The sequence below is a fragment of the Homo sapiens genome, chromosome 16, assembly GCF_000001405.40.
Source record: "Homo sapiens chromosome 16, GRCh38.p14 Primary Assembly".
NCBI classification, from domain to species: Eukaryota; Metazoa; Chordata; class Mammalia; order Primates; family Hominidae; genus Homo; species Homo sapiens.
Genome location: NC_000016.10, coordinates 75,210,493 through 75,236,380, shown reverse-complemented (window position 1 = coordinate 75,236,380; position 25,888 = coordinate 75,210,493). Strand labels below are relative to the sequence as shown.

Here is a 25,888-nt window from a genome sequence, read left to right as displayed (position 1 = left end):
GATGGTGGTGGCAGTGGCAGTATCACAGCTAACCTTTCAGTGAGTGTCTGCAGTGACACAATTATGTGAATTAACACATGCAATTCTTTGGGAGGAAGCTCTCCCACCTTCAGGCACAGGGGTGGTCACCTGGCTCCAGAGCCGGCTCGTCCCAGAGCTGTCATGGATAGGAATTGTGAAGGATGTGTGTGCTAGGGCTGCGAGTGTGTGTGCGCGTGTGTGTGCCTGTGTGCGTGCCTCTGCATTTGTATGTGTGCCTGTGTGTGTGCGCGTGCCTCTGTGTGTGTGTCTGTATGTGTGTACGTGTGTGTGTGTGTGTGGCTGGGTGCTGCCCCCAGTCCCTGGGGTGGGCAGATGGACAGATGGACAGTCTTGACCACCGCTTGTCCCCCAGGTCTACGACGTTCCTCCATCGGTGAGCAAGGATGTGCCCGATGGCCCACTGCTGCGTGAGGAGACCTACGATGTGCCCCCCGCCTTCGCCAAGGCCAAGCCCTTTGACCCGGCCCGCACCCCACTGGTACTGGCTGCGCCCCCTCCAGACTCCCCGCCGGCCGAGGACGTGTATGACGTGCCGCCCCCGGCTCCTGACCTCTACGACGTGCCCCCTGGCTTGCGGCGGCCTGGCCCGGGCACCCTGTACGATGTGCCCCGTGAACGGGTGCTTCCTCCTGAGGTGGCTGATGGTGGCGTGGTCGACAGTGGTGTGTATGCGGTGCCTCCCCCAGCTGAACGTGAAGCCCCGGCAGAGGGCAAGCGCCTGTCGGCCTCCAGCACCGGCAGCACACGCAGCAGCCAGTCTGCGTCCTCCTTGGAGGTGGCAGGGCCGGGCCGGGAACCCCTGGAGCTGGAAGTTGCTGTGGAGGCCCTGGCACGGCTGCAGCAGGGTGTGAGCGCCACCGTTGCCCACCTTCTGGACCTGGCAGGCAGCGCCGGTGCGACTGGGAGCTGGCGTAGCCCCTCTGAGCCACAGGAGCCGCTGGTGCAGGACCTGCAGGCTGCTGTGGCCGCTGTCCAGAGTGCCGTCCACGAGCTGTTGGAGTTTGCCCGCAGCGCGGTGGGCAATGCTGCCCACACATCTGACCGTGCCCTGCATGCCAAGCTTAGCCGGCAGCTGCAGAAGATGGAGGACGTGCACCAGACGCTGGTGGCACATGGTCAGGCCCTCGACGCTGGCCGGGGAGGCTCTGGAGCCACCCTTGAGGACCTGGACCGGCTGGTGGCCTGCTCGCGGGCTGTGCCCGAGGACGCCAAGCAGCTGGCCTCCTTCCTGCACGGCAATGCCTCACTGCTCTTCAGACGGACCAAGGCCACTGCCCCGGGGCCTGAGGGGGGTGGCACCCTGCACCCCAACCCCACTGACAAGACCAGCAGCATCCAGTCACGACCCCTGCCCTCACCCCCTAAGTTCACCTCCCAGGACTCGCCAGATGGGCAGTACGAGAACAGCGAGGGGGGCTGGATGGAGGACTATGACTACGTCCACCTACAGGTGGGTGCCGCCTGCCCAGCCCCGGCTCCTCTTCTGCCACGCTGGGCTCCTGTGCTTAGGGGGAGATTTGTTCTCAGCTGGGGCCTGGTCCCTGGCAAGGCCCTGCACCCTCCTCTCACTTTGACCTCCCTCACCCCACATTGGCCCCATGTGCTAGGGTGGCCATGTCATCGAGCCCTTCGTTGAGTCCCTCGGGCTGGTATCTCTGGTGACCAGCAGCGGTGACTCTGCTGTTCTGTGTGGGGAGACAGATCTGCAGAAATGTGCACACACACAAGGATGCTCTGAGCGTGGGGGAGCAGCAGGAGGTGGTGGGAGGTGGCTGGGACTGCTCCTCCCAGGCTGGCCCCTGGAGCAGAGGCCTGGGTGCTAGCCGGGTGGGAGTCCTGGTAAGGAACATTCCAGGCTGAGCTGGGCCAGAGAGGCATCCAGGGGCAGGGACCAGGTGGCCAGGCCTTTAGGCCAAGGGGGAGGGATTGGGTGTGATTCCTGGTGTTGGAGCCTGGGAAGGCAGGGTGGAGCTTGCGGACTTTCTGCGGGTACCCCACCCTCTGCCCAGTCTCTTCCTGAGCTGGCAGGCGGTGAAAGGGGCTGCCAGGGTTGCTTCCTAGGAAGCCACCTTCTCTGTGTGTCCCCGCATGTGCCAGCCTGGGGGGGCTGTGTCCCACATATGCCAGCCTGGGGGAGTGTGTGTGTGTGTGTGTGTGTGTGTGTGTGTGTGTGTCTGTCTGCCTGCCCCTGCACGTGCCAGTCTGTGTGTGTGTTCACGTGTGCTTGTGTGTGTGTGTGTGTCCACGTGTGCTAGTGTGTGTGTGCGTCCACGTGTGCGTGTGTGTGCGCGCACACGCAGCACCACCTGGTGGCCACTCAGCTCACTGCGCCCGCCACAGGGCTGGCCTGTGCTTCTGGCTCAGAAAACTGGCCTCAGCGCAGCCCCTGTCTCTGCCCTCCAGGGGAAGGAGGAGTTTGAGAAGACCCAGAAGGAGCTGCTGGAAAAGGGCAGCATCACGCGGCAGGGCAAGAGCCAGCTGGAGTTGCAGCAGGTGAGGCCCCGGAGCAGAGCAAGGCCCAGCTTTGCCCGCTGACCCCCTGAGCCCCCAGCTCTTGCCCTGCAGGGCCGACCCCGGGTCCCCAGCTTCTCATGTTGTCTGACAGTGCTCAGAGCTGGGCCCGGCCTGCCACCCCCCTGCCTCCTGACCATCTTCATCTTTTCACTTGGTTTATTTTAAAGTTTTCAAGAGTAATTGTTGGAGACATTTAGGGAATTAGAGAGTGGGGTGAGAGCAGAAAATAGACCCCTCACAGCTGCCATAGGCTCAGCACGGGGCTGGCTCTGCCCTGCTCCTTCCTCCAAGCTGCTCCCTGCATGGCCGGGATGGTGTCCTGTGGGCATTCGACTCTTCTGTCCCAGCATCTGCCATGGCGTTAAGCATTCTTGTGGATTCTTTCAAAGACCACTTAGCGTCTATTGAATGTTTGTATTGTACCCACACTTCCTTAGTATTTTTTTTTTTTTGACACAGAATCTTGTTCTGTCACACAGGCTAGAGTACAGTGATGCGATCTCAACTCACTGCAGCCTCAACCTTCTGGGCTCAAGCGATTCTCCTGCCTCAGCCTCCCCAGTAGTTGGGATTACAGGCGCCTGCCACCACACCTGGCTGATTTTTATATTTTTTATAGAGACAAAGGTTTCACCACATTGCCCAGGCTGGTCTCAAACACCTGGGCTCAAACGATCCACCTGCCTTGGCCTCCCAAAGTGCTGGGATTATAGTGTGAGCCACCACATCTGGCCCCTTATTATAAATATACTGCTGTGTTTATATGCAGACATGTTAATAGAATTTTCCTCATATTTTGAATCAGTTCTTCAGGGTAGGAAAGAGGTATGTAAAAAAACACTAAGGGAGCTTTATTCTGATTATGAAGATAATTTTAAAAGTGAAAATACAGGATAGCACGAAGTGAACATAAAAATATCACCCGTCAAATCTCCCTCGCCTACCTTCTGGGCACCAAGGAGGTGGCAGAGGCAGGGGCCTGAGACCCACGACACACAGCAGTGAGGCTGCAGCCGCCTCATGAGAGCTCGGTGAGAATCACTGAAAAGTGGAAGATGCCTGGGAAGTACCTGGCACATGGAGACACTCAGGAGAGGCTAGACATTGACATCTCAGAACGGTGGCAGGGTGGCAGGGGGTGGGGGCTGAGAAATTACCTAATGGGTACATTGTACCCACATAACAAAACTGCACCTGCACCCCTGTTAAATCTACTAAAGAAAACACCCAAGAAAAGAATAAATGTCACACCTGTAATCCTAACACTTTAGGAGGCTGAGGCAGGAGGATCACTTGAGGCCAAGGGTTTGAGACCAGCCAGGCCACGTAGTGAGACCCAAGTCTGTATACATTAATACAAATTGTGGCCAGGCACAGTGGCTCACACTTGTAATCCCAGCACATTGGGAGGCCAAGGCGGGCAGATCACTTGAGGTCACGAGTTTGAGACCAGCCTGGTCAACATGGCAAAACCCCATCTCTACTAAAAATACAAAAATTGGCCAGCATAGTGGCACACGCCTGTAGTCCCAGCTACTTGGGAAGCTGAGGCAGGAGAATCATTTGAACCCAGGAGGCGGAGCTTGCAGTGAGCCGAGATTGCGCCACTGCACTCCAGCCTGGGCGACAGGGTGAGATTCCGTCTCAAAAAAAATAAAATAAAATTGTTTTAAAAACCTCCTGGGTGCCGAGGCGGGCGGATCACCTGAGGTCGGGAGTTCGAGACCAGCCTGACCAACATGGAGAAACCCCATCTCTACTAAAAATACAAAACAATTAGCTGGGCATGGTGGCACATGCCTGTAATCCCAGCTACTTGGGAGGCTGAGGCAGGAGAATCGCTTGAACCCAGGAGGCGGAGGTTGCGGTGAGCCGAGATCGCACCACTGCACTCTAGCCTGGGCAACAAGAGCGAAACTCCGTCTCAAAAACAAAAAACCTCCTGAAATATCAACAATATATAGGTCTATATCTCTGTCTAGAGAGAGAACTCTGGGATCGCCGTGTTTTCAGAAGTGGTCGTGTACTTTGTCCGTCCTCTGTGTGCCTCCAGCACTGACTTCACCAGTCCCCTGCTGTTGGACACTTAGGCTGTTCCCAGAGTTTTACTTTTGTGAACAGTGCTGTGATGAATACTAGTCTTTGCACGTATCTGATGAATCACTTAGATAACTTGCTAGAAGCTGGATTAAAGGGCAAGAATATATGTGAAGAACTTTAAAGATGTAGAATTCCAAGGCCAAGGACATAAAGTCCATGTTAAATGCAAGTCCATGAAGACTTACTGATGAGAACATCTGTTGCCCCATTTTTGTATCGGTGAAGAATCTGAAATCTCCACCCACAAAGTGTCTAATAGGAGAGTATTGATTCAATAAAGTATGGACATTTATGCAGTGGGATATTATATAACTATGAAGAGTTGTCAAAGAATAAAAAGGGCTGGGTGCAGTGGCTCACGCTTGTAATCCCATCACTTTGGGAGACAGAGGCGGGAGGATCATCTGAGGTCAGGAGTTTGAGACCAGCTTGGCCAACATGGTGAAACCCCATCTTTACCAAAAATACAAAAATTAGCCAGGGGTGGTGGCGCAGGCCTGTAATCCCAGCTGAAGCAGGAGAATCGCTTGAACCCAGGAGGCAGAGGTTGCAGCGAGCCGAGATCGTGCCACTTCACTTCAGCCTGGGCGATAGAGCAAGACTCCATTTAAAAAAAAAAAAAAAAAGATTAGCCTGGGTGACAGATCAAGACTCCTTCTTTATAAAAATAAAAATAGTATTGAAAAAAAAAAAACCCCACAAAGCTTGTTGCCTGTGCTCTGTCAGGGCTCACTGCAGCCTGGACTTCCCAGACTCAAGTGATTCACCTGCCTCAGCCTCCCAAAGTGCTGGGATCACAGGCATGAGCCACCTCACCCTGCCTCATCAGAGCTTTTCAAAGAAAAAAAGCGGAGTATGTATCTCACTGGCTAAGGGAACGGAGAGATGGAGGATTTCACCAAGTGGCTGCCTAAGGGGGACAGTGCGAGGTTCTAAGTGTTAGGAAGGGGAGGTTTCCTATTGGTTTTGCTCATTGTGGCTTGGATCTTTGCGCCTAGGGTGGCACAGAGCTTACCAGTCCTGAGTCTGGGTGTGGCTGGTCACTTCCGGAGCCAGAGCGGCTCTAGTGAGGACACATTGTCCCCTTCAGCTGACTCCTAGGCACGGGAGTGGAAATGTTAACTTTCGTGTGTGGTTCTGGAAGATGATTTAGCAGAGGTTCTATTTAGGGGCATTGGATTACAGGTGACATCTTCGTTTTTTCTGTTTGATATATTTGAATCTTTTTATAATGTGTATGTTACTTTTGAACTAAGGGGAAAATTTTTTTAACCTTCCATTTTGAAATATTTATAGATTCACAGGAAGTTGCAAAGATAGGGTCGAGGGGTCCCCAGTGCCCTTCAGCCATTTTCCCCAGTGCCACGTCTCAAGTCACGTGGGACAGTACCCAAGCCAGGACGGTGACCCCCCGACCCCAGGCAGCCACTTTTCTGTTGTCCATCTTGTCATTTCAAAAATGTTCAGGGCACGGAGTCTGACCTTTTGAGACTGGTGGAAGGGTAACTGAACAACCTCCAGAAGGCTTGCCATGGTTCCTGGTCCCGTCCCCGGGAGAGGAGACTGCCCGTTTCCCTGCAGTCCCATGCACTCTGAGTAGCGGCCCTTTTAGAGAAGCCCAGCCCAGGGTGCCCAGGTCTCGGCCTGTAGTTCCAACTCACCCGAGAGCCTAACCCTGCTCCTGCTTCCCTCCTGCCCCAGCTGAAGCAGTTTGAACGACTGGAACAGGAGGTGTCACGGCCCATAGACCACGACCTGGCCAACTGGACGCCAGCCCAACCCCTGGCCCCGGGGCGAACAGGCGGCCTGGGGCCCTCGGACCGGCAGCTGCTGCTCTTCTACCTGGAGCAGTGTGAGGCCAACCTGACCACACTGACCAACGCCGTGGACGCCTTCTTTACCGCCGTGGCCACCAACCAGCCGCCCAAGATCTTTGTGGCGCACAGCAAGTTCGTCATCCTCAGCGCCCACAAGCTGGTGTTCATCGGGGACACACTGTCACGGCAGGCCAAGGCTGCTGACGTGCGCAGCCAGGTGACCCACTACAGCAACCTGCTGTGCGACCTCCTGCGCGGCATCGTGGCCACCACCAAGGCCGCTGCCTTGCAGTACCCATCGCCTTCCGCGGCCCAGGACATGGTGGAGAGGGTCAAGGAGCTGGGCCACAGCACCCAGCAGTTCCGCCGCGTCCTAGGCCAGCTGGCAGCCGCCTGAGGGTGGTGACCCCAGGAGGGAGGCAGGGGAGGGGTGCGGCGGTCCCAGCTCCCTGGCTCCCATGTCAAGAGTCGCTGTGCCACAGGCTTAGGGACAGGACCCCAGCTCTGCGTCGGTCCTGGTGCCCTGGATGCCCAGGAATCTGTATATATTTATGGCCGGGCAGGGTGTGGGGCCATGCCTCCTCAGGAGCCGAAGCCCAGGGGCCGGCCAGTGGCCTTCCCCAGCATGCACCACGGGCCCGGGTTGGGTCACCAGACGGGGCTGGAGTGTGAGGGTCCTGCAGCCTGCAGGACCTCGTGCCACCCCGAGGGCTGAGCCTGGTCCCACGAGGGTGCCGTGTCCCCTGACAGGGCCAGTGCAGTTTGGTGTGTCCTCCGCCTTACCAGGAGAAGAACCTGAAGAACTATTTTTCGTTATTGGTTTTCCAATCATTTGACTAAGAGTCTCCATTTAAATAAAGTTTTTAAAAGGAAGAGCAGCTGCCTGAGGGTGGCAGATGAGAGCAGCCCGGGGTGGGTGACGGTTCTGGGGAAGGCACCCGGGGGCAAGGGCCATGCGTGGCATCTCCCGGGAGGGCAGAGGAGGAGTGGGTCTCTCTAGAAGAAAACCAAGGAACGCCGAGGCTGGGTGTCTCCTGGAGGCGGGGTGAGGCCTGCAGCTGGCCACAAGGCCCTGGGAGCCAGGGCAGAGCCTGGGCCCAAGAAAGGGGGCAGTTTCAGAGCTGCAGGGTCTGGGGCCCAGAAAGCACAGCCTGGGCATGGCCCCTGCAACCCTAGGGAGCTGCCACAGTGAGCACCTGCCCATGCCCACAGCTGGCATCTGGAGTGAGGGCAGATTGGGGCAGGAACAGCTGCACAAGGGGACGGGTTCCTGTGAGCCGAGGGCACCGCTGGGGGCTGCATCCAGAGCTCTGCTTAAAAGAATCTCATCCCAGCCTGCGGAACTCCCGAAGTGCACATGGAATTATACCTGGACCTGGCATCTGAGTTGGGAGGGAGGGGCTTGGAGAAGACCCTTGCCCTGGGCAAGTGTGTCCCCCTTCGTGGCTCCCCCACCCAGCAGCCCGCAGCCCAGATGGAAGCTTCAGGGTGCTTGGAACCCCTGGTGCTGCTCCCAGCCCTGACCGTTCTGCATATGAACATGGGCCTTGGTTTCCCCATCTGTATGAAGAAGGGAGTAGGGCTGGGTGATTCGCAAGCCCTCCTGATCTTACCTCTACAGAGGTTGTCCCCGTGACAGCATCTGTCCCCCCACCTCAGCCACATCATGCTCAGCCCACCTGCCTTGGTGAGGACACAGAGGTAAAGGTGTATGCAGTTGCTCTCAATGGCTTTATTTGTGTTTTACACAGATGCGGGGTAGGGGGGGTGGTCTCGGCCTCCACGCCTTCCCAGGCATGAATTTCATGATGCGGGCATCCACGCCTGGTGACAACAGGAGGTGCTGGTGCTGCTCCAGGACACGATGCCCTCCAGAGTCCAGGCTCCATCCTGGCAGGCAAGGGCTGTCGGAGTCACCCTGCAGGAAGGAGAGGAGGTGTCTCCAGGCCTGAACTGGGTGCCAGGGCCTGGGAGACCCTAACCTGGCGGAGTCCAGGGAGGGGTGCGGAGAAATGGCAAGTGTGGGTGCAGGGGCTGTGCCAGGGTCCTGAGGCCTGGGTTCACGTGGCAGCCCCAGCTCTGCCATGCACACTCCTGGAGGGAGCTGGGGCAAGTGGCTTTCATCCATGCCGGGGCGCCATTCATCCCATGAGCTGACGCTTCCAGCTCAGAGGGCTGGGAAGAGGAGGAAGTCCCCAGGCAGCCTCGCCTGCCTGGTTCAGGAAGCTGTGAGCCTGAGTCCTGGCCCTTGTAAGGCCTAGGGAAGGAGGGCAGAGAGGAGTGGGGAGCCCAGGCCTCCATGAGTGGACTGGATAGTGCTGGGGTACATTGAGAAAGGAACAGGAATGGGACTGGACAGGTGAGTCTATGGAGACGGATGGAGAATAGCCCGTGGCACGTGGTGATTTTTAATGATTATCTGTCCACGTTTTTCTACAATGAGCAAAACTTTACCATCGAAGACACCTGTCAGGGTCCTTTCAGGAGCTTTACTACTTGGGAAGGAAAAAGCTGGGAGAGGCAGGTGCCCATGGGCCCTGGCAGCCAAGGGTGCAGGGCAAGGCCCAGGCCAGCTGGGCAGGGGCCCTTGTGCCCACTCACCTCCTCTCCCAGAGGTGGGTGTGTCCCATCGTGGTGTCACGAGCCACCTCCTCTCCCTGGCTGTGTGGCCTTAGCGTTAGCCATCCTCAGCACCTGGATGGCCTCCGGGTGAGAGCCAAGGTCAGACGCCCTGGCCACCACACGATCCCGGCCACCACGCGGTGGCTCTTCCTGGAGAGTGAGGGTGGCAGGCGGTGCCTGGGCTCATGGGGGTGCCTGGGAAGTGAGCCAGTCAGGGTGAGCCCTGCTTGCCCCTCAATCTCATGGTGATCTCAGGGCATCCCTTTTTCAGGGTCTAAATTTCCCCACCTGCACAGTGAGGGTACGGGACCTCCCAGGTTTCCCCAAGCTGCCGTCTGGGTGGCCTGCGAGGGTGGAGGTGGGGTGCACGGCCTGGGGTGGGTGTCACCTGCAGAGGCGGCTCTGCCTGTGGCCGGGGGATGGGGGTGCTGGTTCCCCAGCCTGCAGTTCATTTCCGACCCTTTTCCTGTTGGTTGCAGGGTGTAGTTGGGGTTGGGAAGGGGGATGAGTGTCATTCCCTGACACCTGGTGGGCCCCAACTCCTCAAGCTCAAGCCTCACCTGACCCCTGGTGGGCAGCGGTGACCACCCAGTCCTCGCTGATGTGGTAGCCCCCGCAGAAGTGGAAGCCAGCTTTGTACTGGGAGGATAGGAGGACTGGCAACTCCCACAAGGGCAGAAGGGACCCGAGGGGCGAGGGCTGTGTAATCCTAGCACTTTGGGAGGCTGAGGCAGGAGGATCACTTGAGGCCAAACTTCAAGGCCAGTCGGGCCGCATAGTGAGACCCAAGTCTCTATTTATATATTAATAAAAATTGTTTTAAACTTCCCCCCAACTCTAGCCTGCCCACCACCCAGGGTCCCCCCCACCACATGGGCAGGACCTCTCTGATCTGCAGGGACACCTGCCAGGCCTCGGAGCTGGAGTTGGCATCCTCCCCAGAACAGCCGGCAGTTGATGGTGTCCTGAGGTGCCACTGCAGTGCCCTCAGCCCCCTCCCCTGACCGTTGTGTACCCAAGGGAGTGTCTGTCCCCTTCTGAGCCCAGGGTGCTGGGACATGGTGGCTGTATCTCCTTGGGTCCCTGTGCTCTTGAGGACTCTGAGTCAGTGGCTGGGGTGGATTGGGGTGTGGGGCCCGGGGGCACATAAACCCAGGAGGCCGCCCAAGTCCAGAGGGTGCAGGGGCTGGGGGTGAGGGGTGGGCAAAAGGCGTGGATGCAGGAGCCCCTCAGGAGGCAGAATCGTAGGGTGTGGAGGGTCTGAGGGTGCGGGGGCTAAGGAAGGGAGGAAACAGATGCCCCAAGCACGGCCGAGGGGGTGGGGGTAGCGGCCAGAGGGGCGGGGGCCAGCTGGCAGGGTGTGAGGAGGAAGGGGAGGACGATCTGGCCACGGAGGATGTGGTGCCTTGATGAAACATGGCACGGCGGGCTTTTTGCTTCTGGGCATTTGGGGCTGGGGATGGGCATGTTTGACCTGGGGCTCCCGGCCTGCCTGAGCCTCGAACTTTTAAGAGTCATTGCCATAGGGCTGGGCGCGGTGGCTCAGGCCTGTAATCGCAGCACTTTGGGAGGCCAAGGCGGGCGGATGACGAGGTCAGGAGATCGAGACCATCCTGGTTAACACGGTGAAACCCCGTCTCTACTAAAAAAATACAAAACAATTAGCCGGGCATGGTGGCGGGCGCCTGTAGTCCCAGCTACTTGGAAGGTGAGATCGCACCACTGCACCCCAGCCTGGGCGACAGAGTGAGACTCTGTCTCAAAAAAAAAAAAAAAAAAGTCACTGCCAGGGGGAAGCCAGTGATCCAGAGAAAGGCCATGGGATGTCAGAGGGTCCCCATACTGTCCCCTGAGCCCACCAATCACGGCCCACCTCGACACCACCCACCTCATCACCAGTCCTTGCGTTGATAACGCTCCTGGCTCCAGCGTATGTCTGGCAGCCCTAGGAGTGGCCGTGGGAAGATTCCTTGGAGCCACAGGTCTGTGGGGCCAGAGTGAGCTCATCCCCCCACAGCCCCCACGCTGCCCACGCCCTCCTGCAGGGCCCAGAGCAAGAGAGCAAGGGTGGGTGGCAAGAACCTGTCGCCTGGGGGCAGGTGCTGAGGATGGGGGCCAAGGTCCACCCGGTCCCCACCAGCCAGATCCCCCGTCTGTCTCTGCACCCCTTTTCATCTGCCCGTGTGTTCCTGGCCACTCTCTGGGAAGCAGGAGCCTGAGTGGTGGGAGAGGGGACTAAGGAAGGGTCCTCCCAGAGGCCGCCCATGCCTAGCCCAGCCCAGTCCAGCCCAGTGGGGGCCCAGGTTCCGGAGTGGAGTGAGGCCTTGGAGGCCCCAAAACAGAAGACGGACAGCGCCGACGTGTGTTCCATGGGTTTACTGAGGCTCTGTGGGGAGCAGGGTCGGAGGGAGCCGCGGGCTCAGTTGGCAGCCAGGATCTTCTGCACCCAAGGTATGAGCTTGGTGACACGGGCGTACACGCCAGGGCTGGAGGTGGAGCAGGTGTCGCTGCCCCAGGACACAATGCCCACCAGGGTCCAGGCTCCATCCTTTTGGCAGACCAGGGGGCCGCCAGAGTCGCCCTGTGGGAGAGGGAGAAGGGGGCTTGGATCTGGCAGCCGAGACAGACTGGTCCCAGGGGCCACTGGACATTGTTCCCAGAGTCCAGTCCAGGACCCCACACACAGCAAAGGCTCAGCATGTGCTGTTGCGTGGGTTATGAAAGACCCTAGTAGCTGCTTATGTGGTTCATGCCCCTGGAAGCCTGAGCCAGCCCTGGAATGGGACCCTTTAATGGCAGCTCAGTAAAGCTGGTTTGACCAATAGGAGGAAGAGCATGGTGGGGCTGGCCAAGGGGTCCGTGTGAGGGAGGGAGGGCTGCTGGAGCCCGCTGTCCTGCTGGGATCCACGGTCCAGATTGTGCACTGCACAACTCCAAGAGCCATTGGCTCTGACATTGGCCATGGAATTTTGCAACAAGGCGACTCTGACACCCAGGAAGGAGTGGGGTTAGTAGATGAGAGCAGAGAGGGGTGGAAAGCCCAGACCTCCCCTGCACCCCGCTCGCCTGGCCAGGGCCTGGGCAGGGCCAGCCTCACCATGCAGGAGGAGACGCCACTGGCCCCGGCACAGATCATCACGTCGGTGATCCTCCTGCCCCAGGACTTCTTGCATTCGGCATTGGACAGGAGGGGCAGGGCTGCCTGCTGCAGCTTGTCAGGGGTCTTGTTGGCTGCAGGACAGGAGGAGGGTCAGGGCCCCTGGGCTCACTCAGCCAAGAGTGGAGGGAGAGACCCGGGGCCGACACGCCTGCCCTACCCTGCACCATCACCACGATGTTGGGTACGGCCCCTGGAGCCTCAGAAGCGCCTGTGGGACAAGGGGGCCTCGGCCCTGCCCGGGTGGGAGCCCCACGCTGCGACTCCAGGCAGGTCAGCCAGGGCAGGGCTCACCCGGCCGGGCGCTGCTCAGAAGCTCCCTGTGCAGGCTCCTCATGATCCGACCTGGATTTTATTTGCATTTGGGGGATTTTAAATTCAGAAGATTTTCAATAACGAACGGGCAGTTAGGAGCGTGTTGGAATTTAGAGCCAAACGGTCACGGGGGGACTCCACGGCCAGGCAGCCCAGACCCCAGAGGCAGCCCCGCGGCCCCTCACCGTTGTACTTGGTCTTGCCCCAGCCTGTGGTGGCACACAGTGTCCCCGCGGGGAAGTCGTCGTCGGCGCTGGGCAGGCACACGGCGGACACTGTCTGGGAGAAGCGGGCAGGTGTGGCCAGCTTCAGCAGGGTGATGTCATTGTTCACGGTCAGAATGCTGAACTTGGGGTTCTTGAAGACCTGGGGGTGGGGGCCAGAGTGCCGGGGTGAGGCCCTGGGAGGAGGCAGGACCTGCAGGCTTCGAGGACAGACTCCTTCCCTGGTGCCCGTTAAGGAGCAGTCCATCCCCAGGGCCGGAATGGGAATCTCGAGGCCGGCCCGGCCCCACTGGGCGCCTGTCCCTGAAGCAGCCGAGGGGTCTCCCCCCGTGCCCACGGCCCTGCCCTCTGCTGCACGGGGCCTGGGTACCTTGGCGATCTTCAGGACCTGGATGTTCTCCTCGTCAGAGCCCTGGTCAAACTCCCCAGCCACGACCACGTCGGAGGTCCTGGGCAGAGCGTTGTGGGTGAGAGAACATGCCCTGCTCCCCTCCCACCCGACCGGTGCTGGAAGCGGAGCCCAAGGCTGCCCGGTCCTCACCTGACCCCGCAGTGGGCAGCGGTGACCACCCAGTCCTCGCTGATGAGGGAGCCCCCGCAGAAGTGGAAGCCGGTTTTGTCCTGTGAGCAAGATGGGGAGGGTCAGCACCTCCCACCCGGGGGCACCCCCAGCCTGGCCCCTACCCAGGGTGCCCCCCACCTTGCAGAACCCCCTCACCTGCAGGGACACCTGCCAGGGCCAGGAGCCGGGGACGGCGTCCTCCCCATTCACGATCCTGGACAGGCCGCTGAGCACAGGGTGGATGGCGGGGACCCCGCAGCCTGGGGGGGAGTGGGGTGAATAAGGGCTGAGGCCCCAAACCCACCTGGGCCTCACCTGCCTGCGTGCAGCTCTCCCGGTTCTACCCCAGTCCACTGAAGCCAGCTCAGGACCTCCCTGGCACATGCCGCCTCCGCCTCCCTGGTCCCCAAGTCTCTAGGCTCAAACGTTCCCAACTCTCGGCCTGCTGGCTCCAGTCATCCTTCCAGGATGCAGAGCGTCATGTCTCCTCCTACCTGGGGCCTGTCCAGCCTGAAGAAGCAGAAAACAGGCCGGGCTGTAAGACTGCCTGGGCTCAGCCTCGAGGACACACTTTCCTTGCCGTGTGACCCTAGACCGGGCAGGGCAGCACTCAGGCCTTGGTGTCCTCAGCTATAAAAAGGGCAGCAGAACCACGTGAGCTCCACTGGCCCACGTGCCTTTGTTAGACTGGTGGCGAGAGGGGAAGTGGGAAGAAAATCTGATAACCCCAAGTCCACCAGGAATCTGGGGCTCTGACAATTTGCAGACGGGAGAGTGAAATGGCACCGTGGACCCTGGGTGGGCAGGTTGAATTCCACAATTTCAGGAAACATTGTGTAAAGTTTGGGTTTCTCTTTTTTTTTTTTCCAGTTAGGGTCTTGCTCTGTCACCCTGGCTGGAGTGCCGTGGTGTCATCATGGCCCACTGCAACCTCAAATTCCTTTTTTTTTTTTTTTTTTTTTTCTTTTTGAGACAGTCTTGCTCTGTTGCCCAGGCTGGAGTACAGTGGCACAATCTTGGCTCACTGCAAGCTCCGCCTCCTGGGTTCACGCCATTCTCCTGCCTCAGCCTCCCGAGTAGCTGGGACTACAGGTGCCCGCCACCAAGCCCAGCTAATTTTTGTATTTTTAGTAGAGACGGGGTTTCACCGTGTTAGCCAGGATGGTCTCGATCTCCTGACCTTGTGATCCACCCGCCTCGGCCTCCCAAAGTGCTGGGATTACAGGCGTGAGCCACCGTGCCCAGCCTTGCAACCTCAAATTCCCGGGCTGAAGCAATCCTATTGCCTTGATCTCCCAACATGCTGAGATCACAGGCATGAGCCCCCATATATCCGGTCTTGGTTTCTTATTTAATAAAACTGGACTTTGGCCAGCACAGTGGCTCACGCCTGTAATCCTAACACTTTGAGAGGCCAAGCGGGGTGGATCACCTGAGGTTGGGAATTTAAGACCAGCCTGGCCAACATAGTAAAACCCCATCTCTACTAAAAATACAAAAATTAGCCGGGCATGGTGGCACAGGCCTACAATCCCAGCTACTTGGGAGGCTGAGGCAGGAGAATCGCTTGAACCTGGGGGACAGAGGTTGCAGTAAGCTGAGATCGTGCCACTGCACTCCAGCCTGGGTGACAGAGCCAAACTCCATCTCAAGAAAAAATCAAAACAAACACAGCTGGACTTTACTTCCACACCATAAAATGGCACATTGGAAGCAGAAAACAAAACAATGAAAATAGTCAGGTGTTCCACACACGCCCACCATGCCTCTGCTATGTCAGGACCAGATTCTCGACTCCTGTGCGCGGGCCAACCCAACAAACTGGGCTTTACATTTGAGCACACCCGCGTCCCTCAGACCAGCTGTCCCCTTCTGGGGTCATATTCGCCTGCTTACAAGGCAGCCCCTGCGTCTCCTGCCCACAGGAACACAGGCAGGCAAGGTGCCTCCCTGACGTTTCAGAGCATCAAAAACTGGTATTGTAATAGCAAAAAAATGAGAAAGAGCACGTTGGAAGGCCGAGGCAGGTGGATCACAAGGTCAGGAGTTCAAGACCAGCCTGGCCAATATGATGAAACCCTGTCTCTACTAAAAATACAAAAATTAGCTGGGGTGGTGGCTCATGCCTGTAGTTCCAGCTACTCAGGAGGCTGAGGCAGGAGAAATGCTTGAACCTGGGAGGTGGAGGTTGCAGTGAGCCGAAATCATGCCACTGCACTCCAGCCAGGGCGACAAGTGTGAAACTCCATCTAAAAAAATAAATAAATAAATAAGAGAACTAGATGGTGGCATACTCACACAACAGAGCACGCATTATAAAAATGCAGGTGAATGAGCTGAAACTCCACGTCAACATGCAGGAAGTGAGAAGATTTGAGTAGGGAAAAAGCACATTGTTGTAGAATGGAGGTAGAATGGAGTATTAGTTACATCAGCCAGGCACAGTGGCTCACACCTGTAATCCAGCACCCTGGGAGGTTGAGGTGAGCAGATCACTCGAGCACAGGATTTCGAGACCAGCCTGGACAACATAATAAGACCCCAGGTCGGGCATGGGGGCTCACGCCTGTAATCCCATCACTTTGGGAGGCTGAGGTGGGCGGATCACTGGAGGTTAGGAGTTCAAGACCAGCCTGACCAATATGGTGAAACCCCATCTCTATTAAAAATACAAAAATTAGCCAGGTGTGGTGATGCATGCCTGTAATCCCAGCTACTCAGTAGGCTGAGGCAGGAGAAATGCTTGAACCCAGGAGGCGGAGGTTGCAGTGAGCCAAGATCACGCCACTGCACTCCAGCCTGGGTGACAAGAGTGAAACTCTGTCTCAAAGAAAAGAAAAAAAAATAACAAAAAAAACCTCCATCTCTACAAAACAAAACAAGTTTTTAAACTTAGCGTGCCTGTAGCGCCAGCTACTCGGGAGGCTATAGTGGGAGGATCACTCGAGCCCTTGAGTTTGAGGCTGCAAACTCACACTACTGCACTCCAGCCTGGGTGACAGAGTGAGACCCTGTCTCAAAACCAAAACCAAAACCAAAACCAAAAACAGGATAGAATACCGTTCCATTGATGTAACCTTTTTGAAACCTTATGTATAGATGTATAAAAATATGTAGTACAATTGTATAAGCTCACACTGCAATTATTCATAGAAAGTTCAGAATCAAGCTCACATTCCAGAGAGGGAAGGAGGGAGAAAAGGGAAGCCTGAGTACAATCTGTTTTAGAAATATCTGAAGCAAATGTGCAAAAAGATTTGCTGAATTCTGACAGTAGATACAAGGATGTCATATTCTTTTCTGTATTTTCTTTTACTATTTCTCTTTTAAAAAATAGAAAACACGGCTGGGCACAGTAGCTCATGCCTGTAATCCCAGCACTTTGGGAGGCCGAGGCGGGGGCATCACCTGAGGTCAGGAGTTCAAGACCAGCCTGGCCAACGTGGTGAAAGCCCGTCTCTACTAAAAATTAGCCAGGGTTGGTGGTCCATGCCTGTAGTCCCAGCTGCTCGGGAAGCTGAGGCAGGAAGATCATTTGAACCCAGGAGATGGAGGTTGCAGTAAGTGGAGATTGCACCATTGCACTCCAGCCTCGGCAATAGGAGTGAAATTCTGTCTCGAAAAAAAAAAAAGAAAGAAAGGAAGAAAATGCTTGACAAGTACCCAGCACAATAAAAACCCCGGTGGAGGCCTTGGGAGGTCTCCTGGGGCCACACCTTACCCTGCACAAGGCACCCCCACCCCAGCCACTTCTGGAGCCTCAGACCATGGCAGAGACCAGCATCGTCCTTCCCACTCCTGGAGCAGGTTGTGTGGGCTCAGAAAGCCCCAGAATGCACCCTCTCCTGAGCCCTCAGGTTACCTGTGCTGGGGATGAGGCCCCAGGGGGCAGAGCAGGGGACTCAGATCCCCCTCTCAGCCAGGCTCAGGGCTCCCTCAGGACAGACCCCTCGGGCACCAGCACTCACCAAAGGCGGCCCCCACAAGGGAGAAGCAGGAGAGGAGCCAGAGGGAAGCCATGCCGCTGCCTCAGAAGGTGTGGGGCCTGCCAGCTGCGGGGCCCCTTTTACCACCTTGGGGGGGCAGGGAGCCCAGCCCCCCCCGCTCCCCCAGCCAGGGAGGCCTGAGCCCACCCTCCCTGTTACCCAGGGACCTTGGGCAATAAGTGGAGACAGAGCCCCGCCTGGCTCTCTACCAGACAACCCCAGTCCCTGGGAAAGGGGCAGCTGCGCTGACATCACCGGTCAGCCTTGGGGACATGATCCCACAGAGCCAGCTGTGAGCTGCAGTATCCCTGCCAGGAGACGGCACCAGGCTCTTCTGTTCCCAGAGGGGAAGTGGAGGCAGTTCCACCCCAGGGCTCGTGGAGGACCAGCTGCTGTCATGGAACCAGGTCTCCGGGAACTCAGGCTCTCAGTGAAGGGTGTTTCCGCCTAACACTGTCCTAGAAGCAAAGGGTGACTCAGGGCATCGTGGATTCTCCAGAGTGTCACTGCAAGTCACCAGTGAAGCCAAGCCACTTCTGACTGTGGCGAGGGTCTGGGTGACAAGGACCAACCCGCTGGTGGCCGTAACAGGTGGGCAAAGCCACTGACACGCGTCCCACCTGTGCTGTAGAACCCAACAGAATTCACTTTTTCTGCAATGACTCATGATATAAGGAACTAATCATTTCATAAAGTTTCAGTTTCTTACAAAATGGAACTTGGATTCCGCACCATAAAATGACACAGAAAACAAACTTTTTAAGATGGAGTCTCACTCTGTCACCCAGGCCGGAGTGCAGTGGCGCAATTTCAGCTCACTGCAGCCTCCTCTTCCCGGGTTCAACTGATTCTCCTGCCTCAGCCTCCCAAGTAGCTGGGATTACAGGTGCCCACCACACCCAGCTATTTTTTTTTTTTTTTGAGATGGGGTCTTGCTCTGCTGCCTAGGCTGGAGTGCAGTGGCACAATCTTGGCTCACTGCAGCCTCCACCTCCCAGGTTCAAGCAATTCTCCCACCTCAGCCTCTTGAGTAGCTGGGATTACAGGCATAGCACCAAACCTGGCTAATTTTTATATTTTTAGTAGAGACGGGGTTTCACCATGTTGGCCAGGCTGGTCCCAAACTCCTGATCTCGGGTGATCCACCTTCCTCGGCCTCCCAAAGTGCTGGGATTACAGGCGTTAGCCACCGCACTTGGCCAATTGTTGTATTTTTAGTAGAGACAGGGTTTTACCACGTTGGCCAGGCTCCTCTTGAGCTCCCGGCCTCAGGTGATCCTGTGGCCTTGGCCTCCTAAAGTGCTGAAATTACAGGCGTGAGTCACTGCGCCTGTCTGAAAATAAATTTTGAGGAAGCAGAAAAACTTTTTTCATTGTCACAAAACAAGGAGGAAAGACAGGTGTGGGTGACAGGTCGGTGACTGGGCAGAAAGTGAAGGCCAAGGGATCCTCAGCACCCTGTGGGCAGATATTCAGGGGACAGAGCCCGCAGCATCCCTGCCCTTATGGGCCTGAGACGCTCATGACAGACACACACGACACAGATGAGCATGTAATATAGTGACCACAGTCACCTGGGGCAAGGCTGGACAGGACAGGCTGTACTGCATTTCCGGACGATGAGGGTATGAAAGTAAGACACAGTGGGTGGATGGTGTTTCCATGGAAGGCCTTGGGCTCTGTGGTCAGCGGGCCAGGTCACCTTGGCATTTAGAATATCCCCTCCCCACTCCCACCGCTGCTGGAGAATGCACAACTATAAAGCAAAACTAAACTTATATACTAAAGAGAAAATTTCAAAAGTTCACATCACCATGTTACCCTTTTTTTTTCTTTTTCCCCTGAGACAGAGTCTTGCTCTGTCGCCTAGGCTGGAGTGCAGGGGTGTGACCTCAGCTCACTGCAACCTTTGCCTCCCAGGTTGAAGCGATTCTCCTGCCTCAGTCCCCCCAAGTAGCTGGGATTACAGGCGTCTGCCACCATGCCCAGCTAATTTTTGTATTTTTAGTAGAGATGGGGTTTTGCCATGTTGGCCAGGATGATCTCCAACTCCTGACCTCAAGCGATCCAGCCACCTCGGCCTCCGAAAGTGCTGGGATTACAGGCGTGAGCCAGCACACCAGGCTGATAGCTACAATTTAAAGAAACAGAAAATAACAAGTGTGGGATGTGGAAAAACTGGAACCCTCATACATTGCTGCTGGGAATGTAAAATGGTGAAGCTGCTATGCAAACAGTTCGGCATGGCTGGGCACAGTGGCTCACGCCTGGAATCTTGGCACTGTGGGAGGCCAAGGTGGGAGGATCACTTAAGCCAAGGAGTCCAACACCAGCCTGGGCAACAAAGTGAGACCCCATCTCTACAAAAAAATTTAAAAAAAACAACATTAGCTGGGCATGGTGGCGTGGTGGCATAGTCCCGGCTACTCAAGAGGATGAAGTAGGAGGATAACTTGAGCCTGGGAGATCGAGGCTGCAGTGAGCCGAGATCCAGCCTAGGCAGCGGAGCAAGGCCTTGTCTCAAAAAAAAGAGTAAAAAGAAGTGCAAAGAAAACAGTTTGGCAATTCCACAAAATAAACAGAGTTACCTCATGACCTGACAATTCCACTCCCCCTAAATAAAAGGACTTAAGCAGACACTCGCACACCAGTGTTCACAGCAGCACTATTCCCAACAGCCAAAAGACAGAAATCACCCCTGTTGTTCATCAGCAGAGGAATGAGTAAGACATGAGCTCTCCACAGGACTATTATTCAGTCATAAGAAGGAATGAAGCAGGCCTGGTGTGGGGGCTCACACCTGTAATCCCTGCACTGTGGGAGGCCAGGAGTTTGAGGACCAGCCTTGGCAACAAACACCCCGTCTCTACAAAAATTTTTTTCTTAAATCAGCTGGGTGTGGTGGTATGTGCCTGTGGTCCCAGCTACATGGGAGTCTGAGGCAGGAAGATCGCTTGAGCGCAGGTGGTCAAGGCTGAAGTGAGCTGTGTCTGTGCCACTGCATTCCAGCCTGGGCAACAGGGCGAGACCCTGTCTCAAACACAAACACAAAAACAAAACAAAATGAATCAGGTACTGATATACGCCAAAAGATGGATTTTTTTTTTTTGAGACAGAGTTTTGCTCTTGTTGCCCAGGCTGGAGTGCAGTGGTGCAATCTTGGCTCCCTGCAACCTCCGGCTCCCGGGTTCAAACAATTCTCCTGCCTCAGCCTCCGGAGCAGCTGGGATTACAGGGATCTGCCACCACACCCACCTAATTTTGTATTTTTAGTAGAGACGGGTTTCACCATGTTGGCCAGGATGGTCTCAAAATCTCTTGACTTTGTGAACCACCCGCCTCGGCCTCCCAAAATGCTGGGATTACAGGCGTGAGCCACCACACCCAGCCGAATCTAAAATGATGTCTGCTACCTGAAAATAAGCAATACAAAGACAATTATTGCATGATTCCATTTATATGAAACCTTTTTTTGAAAAACTTTTTTGTGAGCCACCACGCCTGGCTGACTTGGAGTGTCTCATCTTTATTTACTTTATTCTTGAAACAGAGTCTCACTCTGTCGCCCAGGCTGGAGTGCAGTGGCATGATCTCGGCTCAACTGCAACCTCCACCTCCCAGATTCACCCCATTCTCCTGCCTCAGCCTCCTGAGTAGCTGGGATTACAGGCATGCGCCACCACACCCAGCTAATAAATGAAACTTTATTTTTATTTATTTATTTTTGAGACAGAGTCTCGCTCTGTCGCCTAGGCTGGAGGGCAGTGGCATCATCTCGGTTCACTGCAAGCTCTGCCTCCCAGGTTCACGCCATTCTCCTGCCTCAGCCTCCCAAGTAGCTGGGACTACAGGCGCCCACCACCACGCCCGGCTAATTTTTTGTGTTTTTAGTAGAGACGGGGTTTCACCATGTTAGCCAAGATGGTCTCGATCTCCTGACCTCGTGATCTGCCCGCCTCAGCCTCCCAAAGTGCTGGGATTACAGGCATGAGCCACCACACCCGGCCATGAAACATTCTTAATAGGCAAATTCATAAAGACAAAAACTAGGTTAGAGGCCCACAGGCACTGAGGGGAGAGAGGAATGCAGAGTTATTGTTCACTGGGTACAGAATTTTGTAAATAGTGGTGATGCTCGCACAAATTCTGAATGTAATTAGTATTGTAGAATGTAATTAGCGCCACTAATTGTACACTTAAAAATGGTTAAAATGGGCTGGGCACGGTGGCTCACACCTGTAATTCCAGCACTTTGGAAGGCCAAGGCAGGCTGATCACCTGAGGTCAGGATTTCGAGACCAGCCGCCGGACCAACATGGAGAAACCCCATCTCTGCTAAAAATACAAAAATCAACCGGGTGTGGTGGCATGCACCTGTAATCCCAGCTACTCAGGAGGCTGAGGCAGGAGAATTGCTTGAACCTGGGAGGCGGAGGTTGCGGTAACTGAGATTGCACCATTGCACTCTAGCCTGGGCAACAAGAGTGAAACTCCGTCTAAAAAAAAAAAAACGGTTAAAACAGCGAATTTTATGTTACCTATATTTTACCATAATTAAATAAAATCAGTGGAATAAACCAAAATCCATCAAATTGCACACTTTACATGGGCGAATTGTATGGTATGTGAATTACACATAACAGCTCTTAACAGCTCGGTAAAGCTGTTAAGTATTATGGAGTCAGAAGTCTTCGTCCAATGGCTATGGAGAGCAAATTCAGGCAAAAGGAGAAGCTGAAGGAAGGGAATATTCAGCCTAGAGCGTGGCTGACAATCAGAAGGCGTTGGAGGAGCCCCCATCTCCCGGGGGCCACAGGACAGACGTGGCTGAGGACAAGCCAGGGGCCTGTCAGAGGTAGAGGTGCAAGACCTGTTAGGACAGACGCAGTGGCTCACACCTATACTCCCAGCACTTTGGGAGGCCAGGCAGGCAGATCACCTGAGGTCAGAAGTTCAAGACCAGCCTGGCCAACGTGGCAAAACCCCATTGCTACAAAAAACATAAAAATTAGCTGGGTGTAGTGCACATGCCTGTAATCCCAGCTACTCAGGAGGCTGAGGCAGGAGAATCGCTTGAACCCGGGAGGCGGAGGTTGCAGTGAACCGAGATCGCGCCACTACACTGCACCCTGGACGACAGAGTGAGACCCTGTCTCAAAAAAAAAAAAAAAATTGTTAAATACACTATGCCCAACCCCACCGTGCTCCCTAAGCTAAGGAACTACACAACAGGCGTGGGCACCCTGAGACACAGGGCAAGGGCTTTTAGGCAGACAGAACAAGGATAAAGAACCCGGAACCCAAATCTCCCCCAGACTCCCTCGCCCACACGGGCATCCCCTTACTGCGGCTGAGGGAGCCGACCTGTCTCTCCATCAGAGCTCTCAGTGATAACCAGGGTGGTGGCCTCACAAGAGAATGCCAATTCTCCGTAGAACCCACCCCACCAATCCCCACCACCTCCAAGAGCAGATCCTGCCGTCAACTGAGAAATGGCCCCAGCTCTTTGCAACTCCCGGTACCCACGCCTGTGCCACAAAACTCTGCATGGAAGGGGAGAGACTGAATACACACGCGAACAGGGGACAGACCGCCTAAAAAACCAGAACTCTGCCCGCTGCGCAGCAACAAGCCCAGGGCTCCAAACAGCAGCAGCCCCACCGGCCAGCCCTAAAAAGCCACACACGCCCTGACAGTCACAGAAGACGCCCACTCGGAGTTCGGAGCGCGCCTGAAGGCCTCCTGAGGCCCTGAGTGCTGCGGGACAGAATACCTCAGACTGGGTCATTTATAGTGGATAGAAATGTATTTTCTCACAGTTCTGAAGGCTGCAAGTCCAAAGTCAACAGGCAGGGTGGGCGACCCTGGCCACAGGCTGATGTCTTGAACTCCATATCTTCACCTGGTGGAAGGTGGAAGGGCAAAGAGAGACGCGAGGGGGGTTGCTTGCCTTTTATTAATATAATGGCATTAATCCCACCTGGGAAGCAGAGCCCCACCCCCCCCATCCCACACGCTAATCACCACTTACAGGTCCCACCTGTTAATACAAACAATGCGGCCAGGTGCAGTGACTCAAACCTGTAACTCCAGTGCTTTGGGAGGTCAAGGCAGGCGGATCACTTGAGCCCAGGAGTTCAAGATGAGCCTGGGTAACATGTTGAAACCTCATCTCTGCAAAAATAAATAATTAGCCAGGGTGGTGGCGTGTACCTGTGGTCCCAGCTACTCGGGAGGCTGAGATGGGAGAGTCGCTTGAGCCCAGGAGGTCAAGGCTATATAGTAAGCTGTGATCGCACCACTGCACTCCGGCCTGGACCAACAAAGCAAGACCCTGACTCTTAAAAAAAAAAAACACACACAAAACACAAAAAACTAATAACATTTCCATACAAGTGTCAGTAGGACAAACACGCAGACCACACAGCAGCCTGCCTCCCACTTCCCCACACCAATAGCCACCAGCCAGGACACAGCGAGCCTTCCCCTTCCCTCCATGAAGCTTTCCCTCCACCCTGCCGGCCTTGGCGTCTTAGTCAATGCAAGTGACAGAGGCCGACTCCCTTGCTGTGGCAAGCTCTGAATAAGCAGCCCCCGCTGGTTCCCATTTGGGCAGATGTCACTGATCTCCACAAGGGCTGAGCGCCTGCTGGACATCCGGCGCCCACACTCGCTGTCCTCCTGGGTCAGGAAACGCCCCCCAGCCCATCTCCCCACTATTGCTAGCCAGGCATCAACATGGAGCAGGGGGACAATTGTTTTCTAAGCAAGCTGCATGGGATCTCGTTGGCTCAGGGAGCACCCTGTGCTTTCTCTAAAAAAACATTCCCCCAGCCTCATTTGGTGAGGGACAAAACCCAGCGGAAAGGGTTTAGGCAAAGAACCATTCCATTAAATCGCTCCACTTGGTAAGTTTAGACAAGCCCACTGGTGCTGTGAGAAAGGTCCTGGCCAGGCACAGTGGCTCACACCTGTAATCCTAGCAGTTTGGGCAGCCGAAGCGGGCAGATTGCTTGAACCCAGGAGTCTGAGACCAGCCTAGGCGACATAGGGAGATCTTGTCTCTACAAAAAAATACAAAAATTAGCCAGGCATGGTGGCCCACACCTGTAGTCCCAGCTAACTGGGAGGCTGGACCTGGGAGGTCAAGCCTGTGCTGAGCCGTGATCGTGCCACTGTACTCCAGCCTGGGTGACAGAGTGAGACCCTGTCTCAAAAAAAAAAAAAAAGAGAAGGGTCTCACCTCCTAACCCACTGTGTACCAGCTCCCAAGTCCTCTGCCTTTCGGAAGGGGGCAAGGGAATTTTATGAAGGTGCCTCTCAGAAGGGCAGATGCTCAGAGGGGGCTGCAGACTCAGATCCTGCTTTGCTTTGCTTTGCTATGAAGGAAAAGTAGATGGCCACTGAGAAAACACTTTGACAGTTTCCATAAACACAGGCCCAGCCTACGACCCTGCTGTTCTACTCATATATTTTGTTTGAGACGGAGTCCTGCTCTGCCACCCAGGCTGGAGTGCCATGGCTTGGTCGACTCACCACGACCTCCGCCTCCCGGGTTCAAGCAATTCTCCCACCTCAGCTTCCCGAGTAGCTGGGAATACAGGCACACATCAGCATGCCCGGCTACTATTTGTATTTTTAGTAGAGACAGGGTTTCACTATGTTGGCCAGGCTGGTCTTGAACTCTTGACCCCAAGTGAGCTGCCCACCTCAGCCTCCCAAAGTGCTGGGATTGCAGGCGTGAGCCACCGTGCCTGGCCTACTCCTAGGTGTTTGCCCAAGAGAAATGAACACACATCTGCATAAAGACTTGCCTTTGGATGTTTTAATATATGTTTTATTTATTATAGCAGCTTTATTCATAATAGATCAAAACTACAGAACAGATAGACAAACTGTAGTGCATTCCAGCAATAAAAAGGAAGAGACTGCTGCTCTCTGCAACAGCGTGGGTGAACTCCAAAGACCAGATGCTGAGTGAAAGCAGCCGGATTTCCAGAAACACCTGGGTTCTGTTCACATGAAATTCCAGAACCCGAAAACTAACTGATGGGCAGGATTCAGAGTTTCAGTTCCGTGAGATGAGTGGCCGCACGGCACTGTGGACGTGCTTAGCGCTGAATGGTACACTTAAAAACAGGTGCGGGCCGGGCATGGTGGCTCAAGCCTGTAATCCCAGCACTTTGGGAGGCCGGGGTGGGCGGATCACGAGGTCAGGAGGTCGAGACCATCCTGGCTAACACAGTGAAACGCCATCTATACTGAAATATACAAAAAAATTAGCTGGGCGTGGTGGCGGGCGCCTATAGTCCCAGCTACTCAGGAGGCTGAGGCAGGAGCATGGCATGAACCCGGGAGGCAGAGCTTGCAGTGAGCCAAGATCATGCCACTTCACTCCAGCCTGGGCGACAGAGTGAGACTCTATCTCAAAAGCAAACAAACAAGCAAAGAAACAACGGGTGCAATGGTCAATTTTGTTATGTGTATTACCACAATTTAAAGTTGGTTTTGTGTGTGTGTGTGAGACAAGGTCTGGCTCTGTCCCCCAG

At 55.4% G+C, this 25,888-nt stretch overlaps 2 protein-coding genes and 1 long non-coding RNA gene across 12 annotated transcripts in view, besides 3 other annotated features; 1 reads left to right on the top strand and 2 right to left on the bottom strand.

The window, feature by feature from the left end:
- Positions 1-8,200, top strand: part of BCAR1 (BCAR1 scaffold protein, Cas family member) — a 39,827-nt gene extending 31,627 nt beyond the window's left edge. For all 9 annotated transcript variants that reach the window (NM_001170715.3, NM_001170716.3, NM_001170718.3 and 6 more), the window contains 3 exons: positions 395-1,492; positions 2,446-2,535; positions 6,358-8,200. In NM_001170715.3, the coding sequence (NP_001164186.1) occupies positions 395-1,492; positions 2,446-2,535; positions 6,358-6,870 (1,701 nt within the window). In that variant the 3' untranslated portion in view covers positions 6,871-8,200. The remainder of the gene's footprint in view (positions 1-394; positions 1,493-2,445; positions 2,536-6,357) is intronic.
- Positions 2,253-2,312: a silencer, noted in NCBI's record as "silent region_7711". NCBI's record gives its function as "represses an Ori minimal core promoter by ATAC-STARR-seq in GM12878 lymphoblastoid cells {active_cell/tissue: GM12878}" and the evidence as "EXISTENCE:reporter gene assay evidence [ECO:0000049][PMID:35858748]".
- Positions 2,472-3,097: an enhancer, noted in NCBI's record as "H3K4me1 hESC enhancer chr16:75267182-75267807 (GRCh37/hg19 assembly coordinates)". NCBI's record gives its function as "activates a minimal SCP1, AML or CMV promoter by ChIP-STARR-seq in primed H9 embryonic stem cells {active_cell/tissue: H9 hESC(primed)}" and the evidence as "EXISTENCE:reporter gene assay evidence [ECO:0000049][PMID:30033119]".
- Positions 8,178-9,998, bottom strand: LOC100506281 (uncharacterized). The gene is made up of 5 exons (NR_109777.1): positions 9,979-9,998; positions 9,656-9,888; positions 9,384-9,561; positions 9,075-9,290; positions 8,178-8,391 (listed from the first exon to the last, which is right to left on the bottom strand). It is a non-coding gene; the product is annotated as an uncharacterized LOC100506281 (long non-coding RNA).
- CTRB1 (chymotrypsinogen B1) lies at positions 11,457-17,393 on the bottom strand. 2 transcript variants are annotated; one of them, NM_001906.6, is made up of 7 exons: positions 17,322-17,393; positions 13,510-13,613; positions 13,333-13,412; positions 13,162-13,240; positions 12,753-12,933; positions 12,193-12,326; positions 11,457-11,676 (listed from the first exon to the last, which is right to left on the bottom strand). In NM_001906.6, exons 1-7 carry the CDS (start codon positions 17,371-17,373, stop codon positions 11,515-11,517), a joined length of 792 nt encoding a protein of 263 aa, NP_001897.4. In that variant the 5' UTR covers positions 17,374-17,393; the 3' UTR covers positions 11,457-11,514. The 2 variants fall into 2 exon arrangements, with proteins under 2 accessions (NP_001897.4, NP_001316119.1); NM_001329190.2 differs by lacking the exon at positions 12,193-12,326.
- Positions 17,776-17,855: an enhancer, noted in NCBI's record as "active region_11125". NCBI's record gives its function as "activates an Ori minimal core promoter by ATAC-STARR-seq in GM12878 lymphoblastoid cells {active_cell/tissue: GM12878}" and the evidence as "EXISTENCE:reporter gene assay evidence [ECO:0000049][PMID:35858748]".

What these genes read in the sequence shown, in the direction of transcription:
- CTRB1 (NM_001906.6), bottom strand. Translation starts at nt 17,373, where the DNA reads ATGGCTTCCCTCTGGCTCCTCTCCTGCTTCTCCCTTGTGGGGGCCGCC. An exon ending in AGGTCCTGAAGATCGCCAAG is followed by an intron (nt 12,934 to 13,161) that starts GTACCCAGGCCC and finishes CCCCACCCCCAG; the next exon opens with GTCTTCAAGAACCCCAAGTT. An exon ending in GGGCAAGACCAAGTACAACG is followed by an intron (nt 12,327 to 12,752) that starts GTGAGGGGCCGC and finishes CCTGTCCTGCAG; the next exon opens with CCAACAAGACCCCTGACAAG.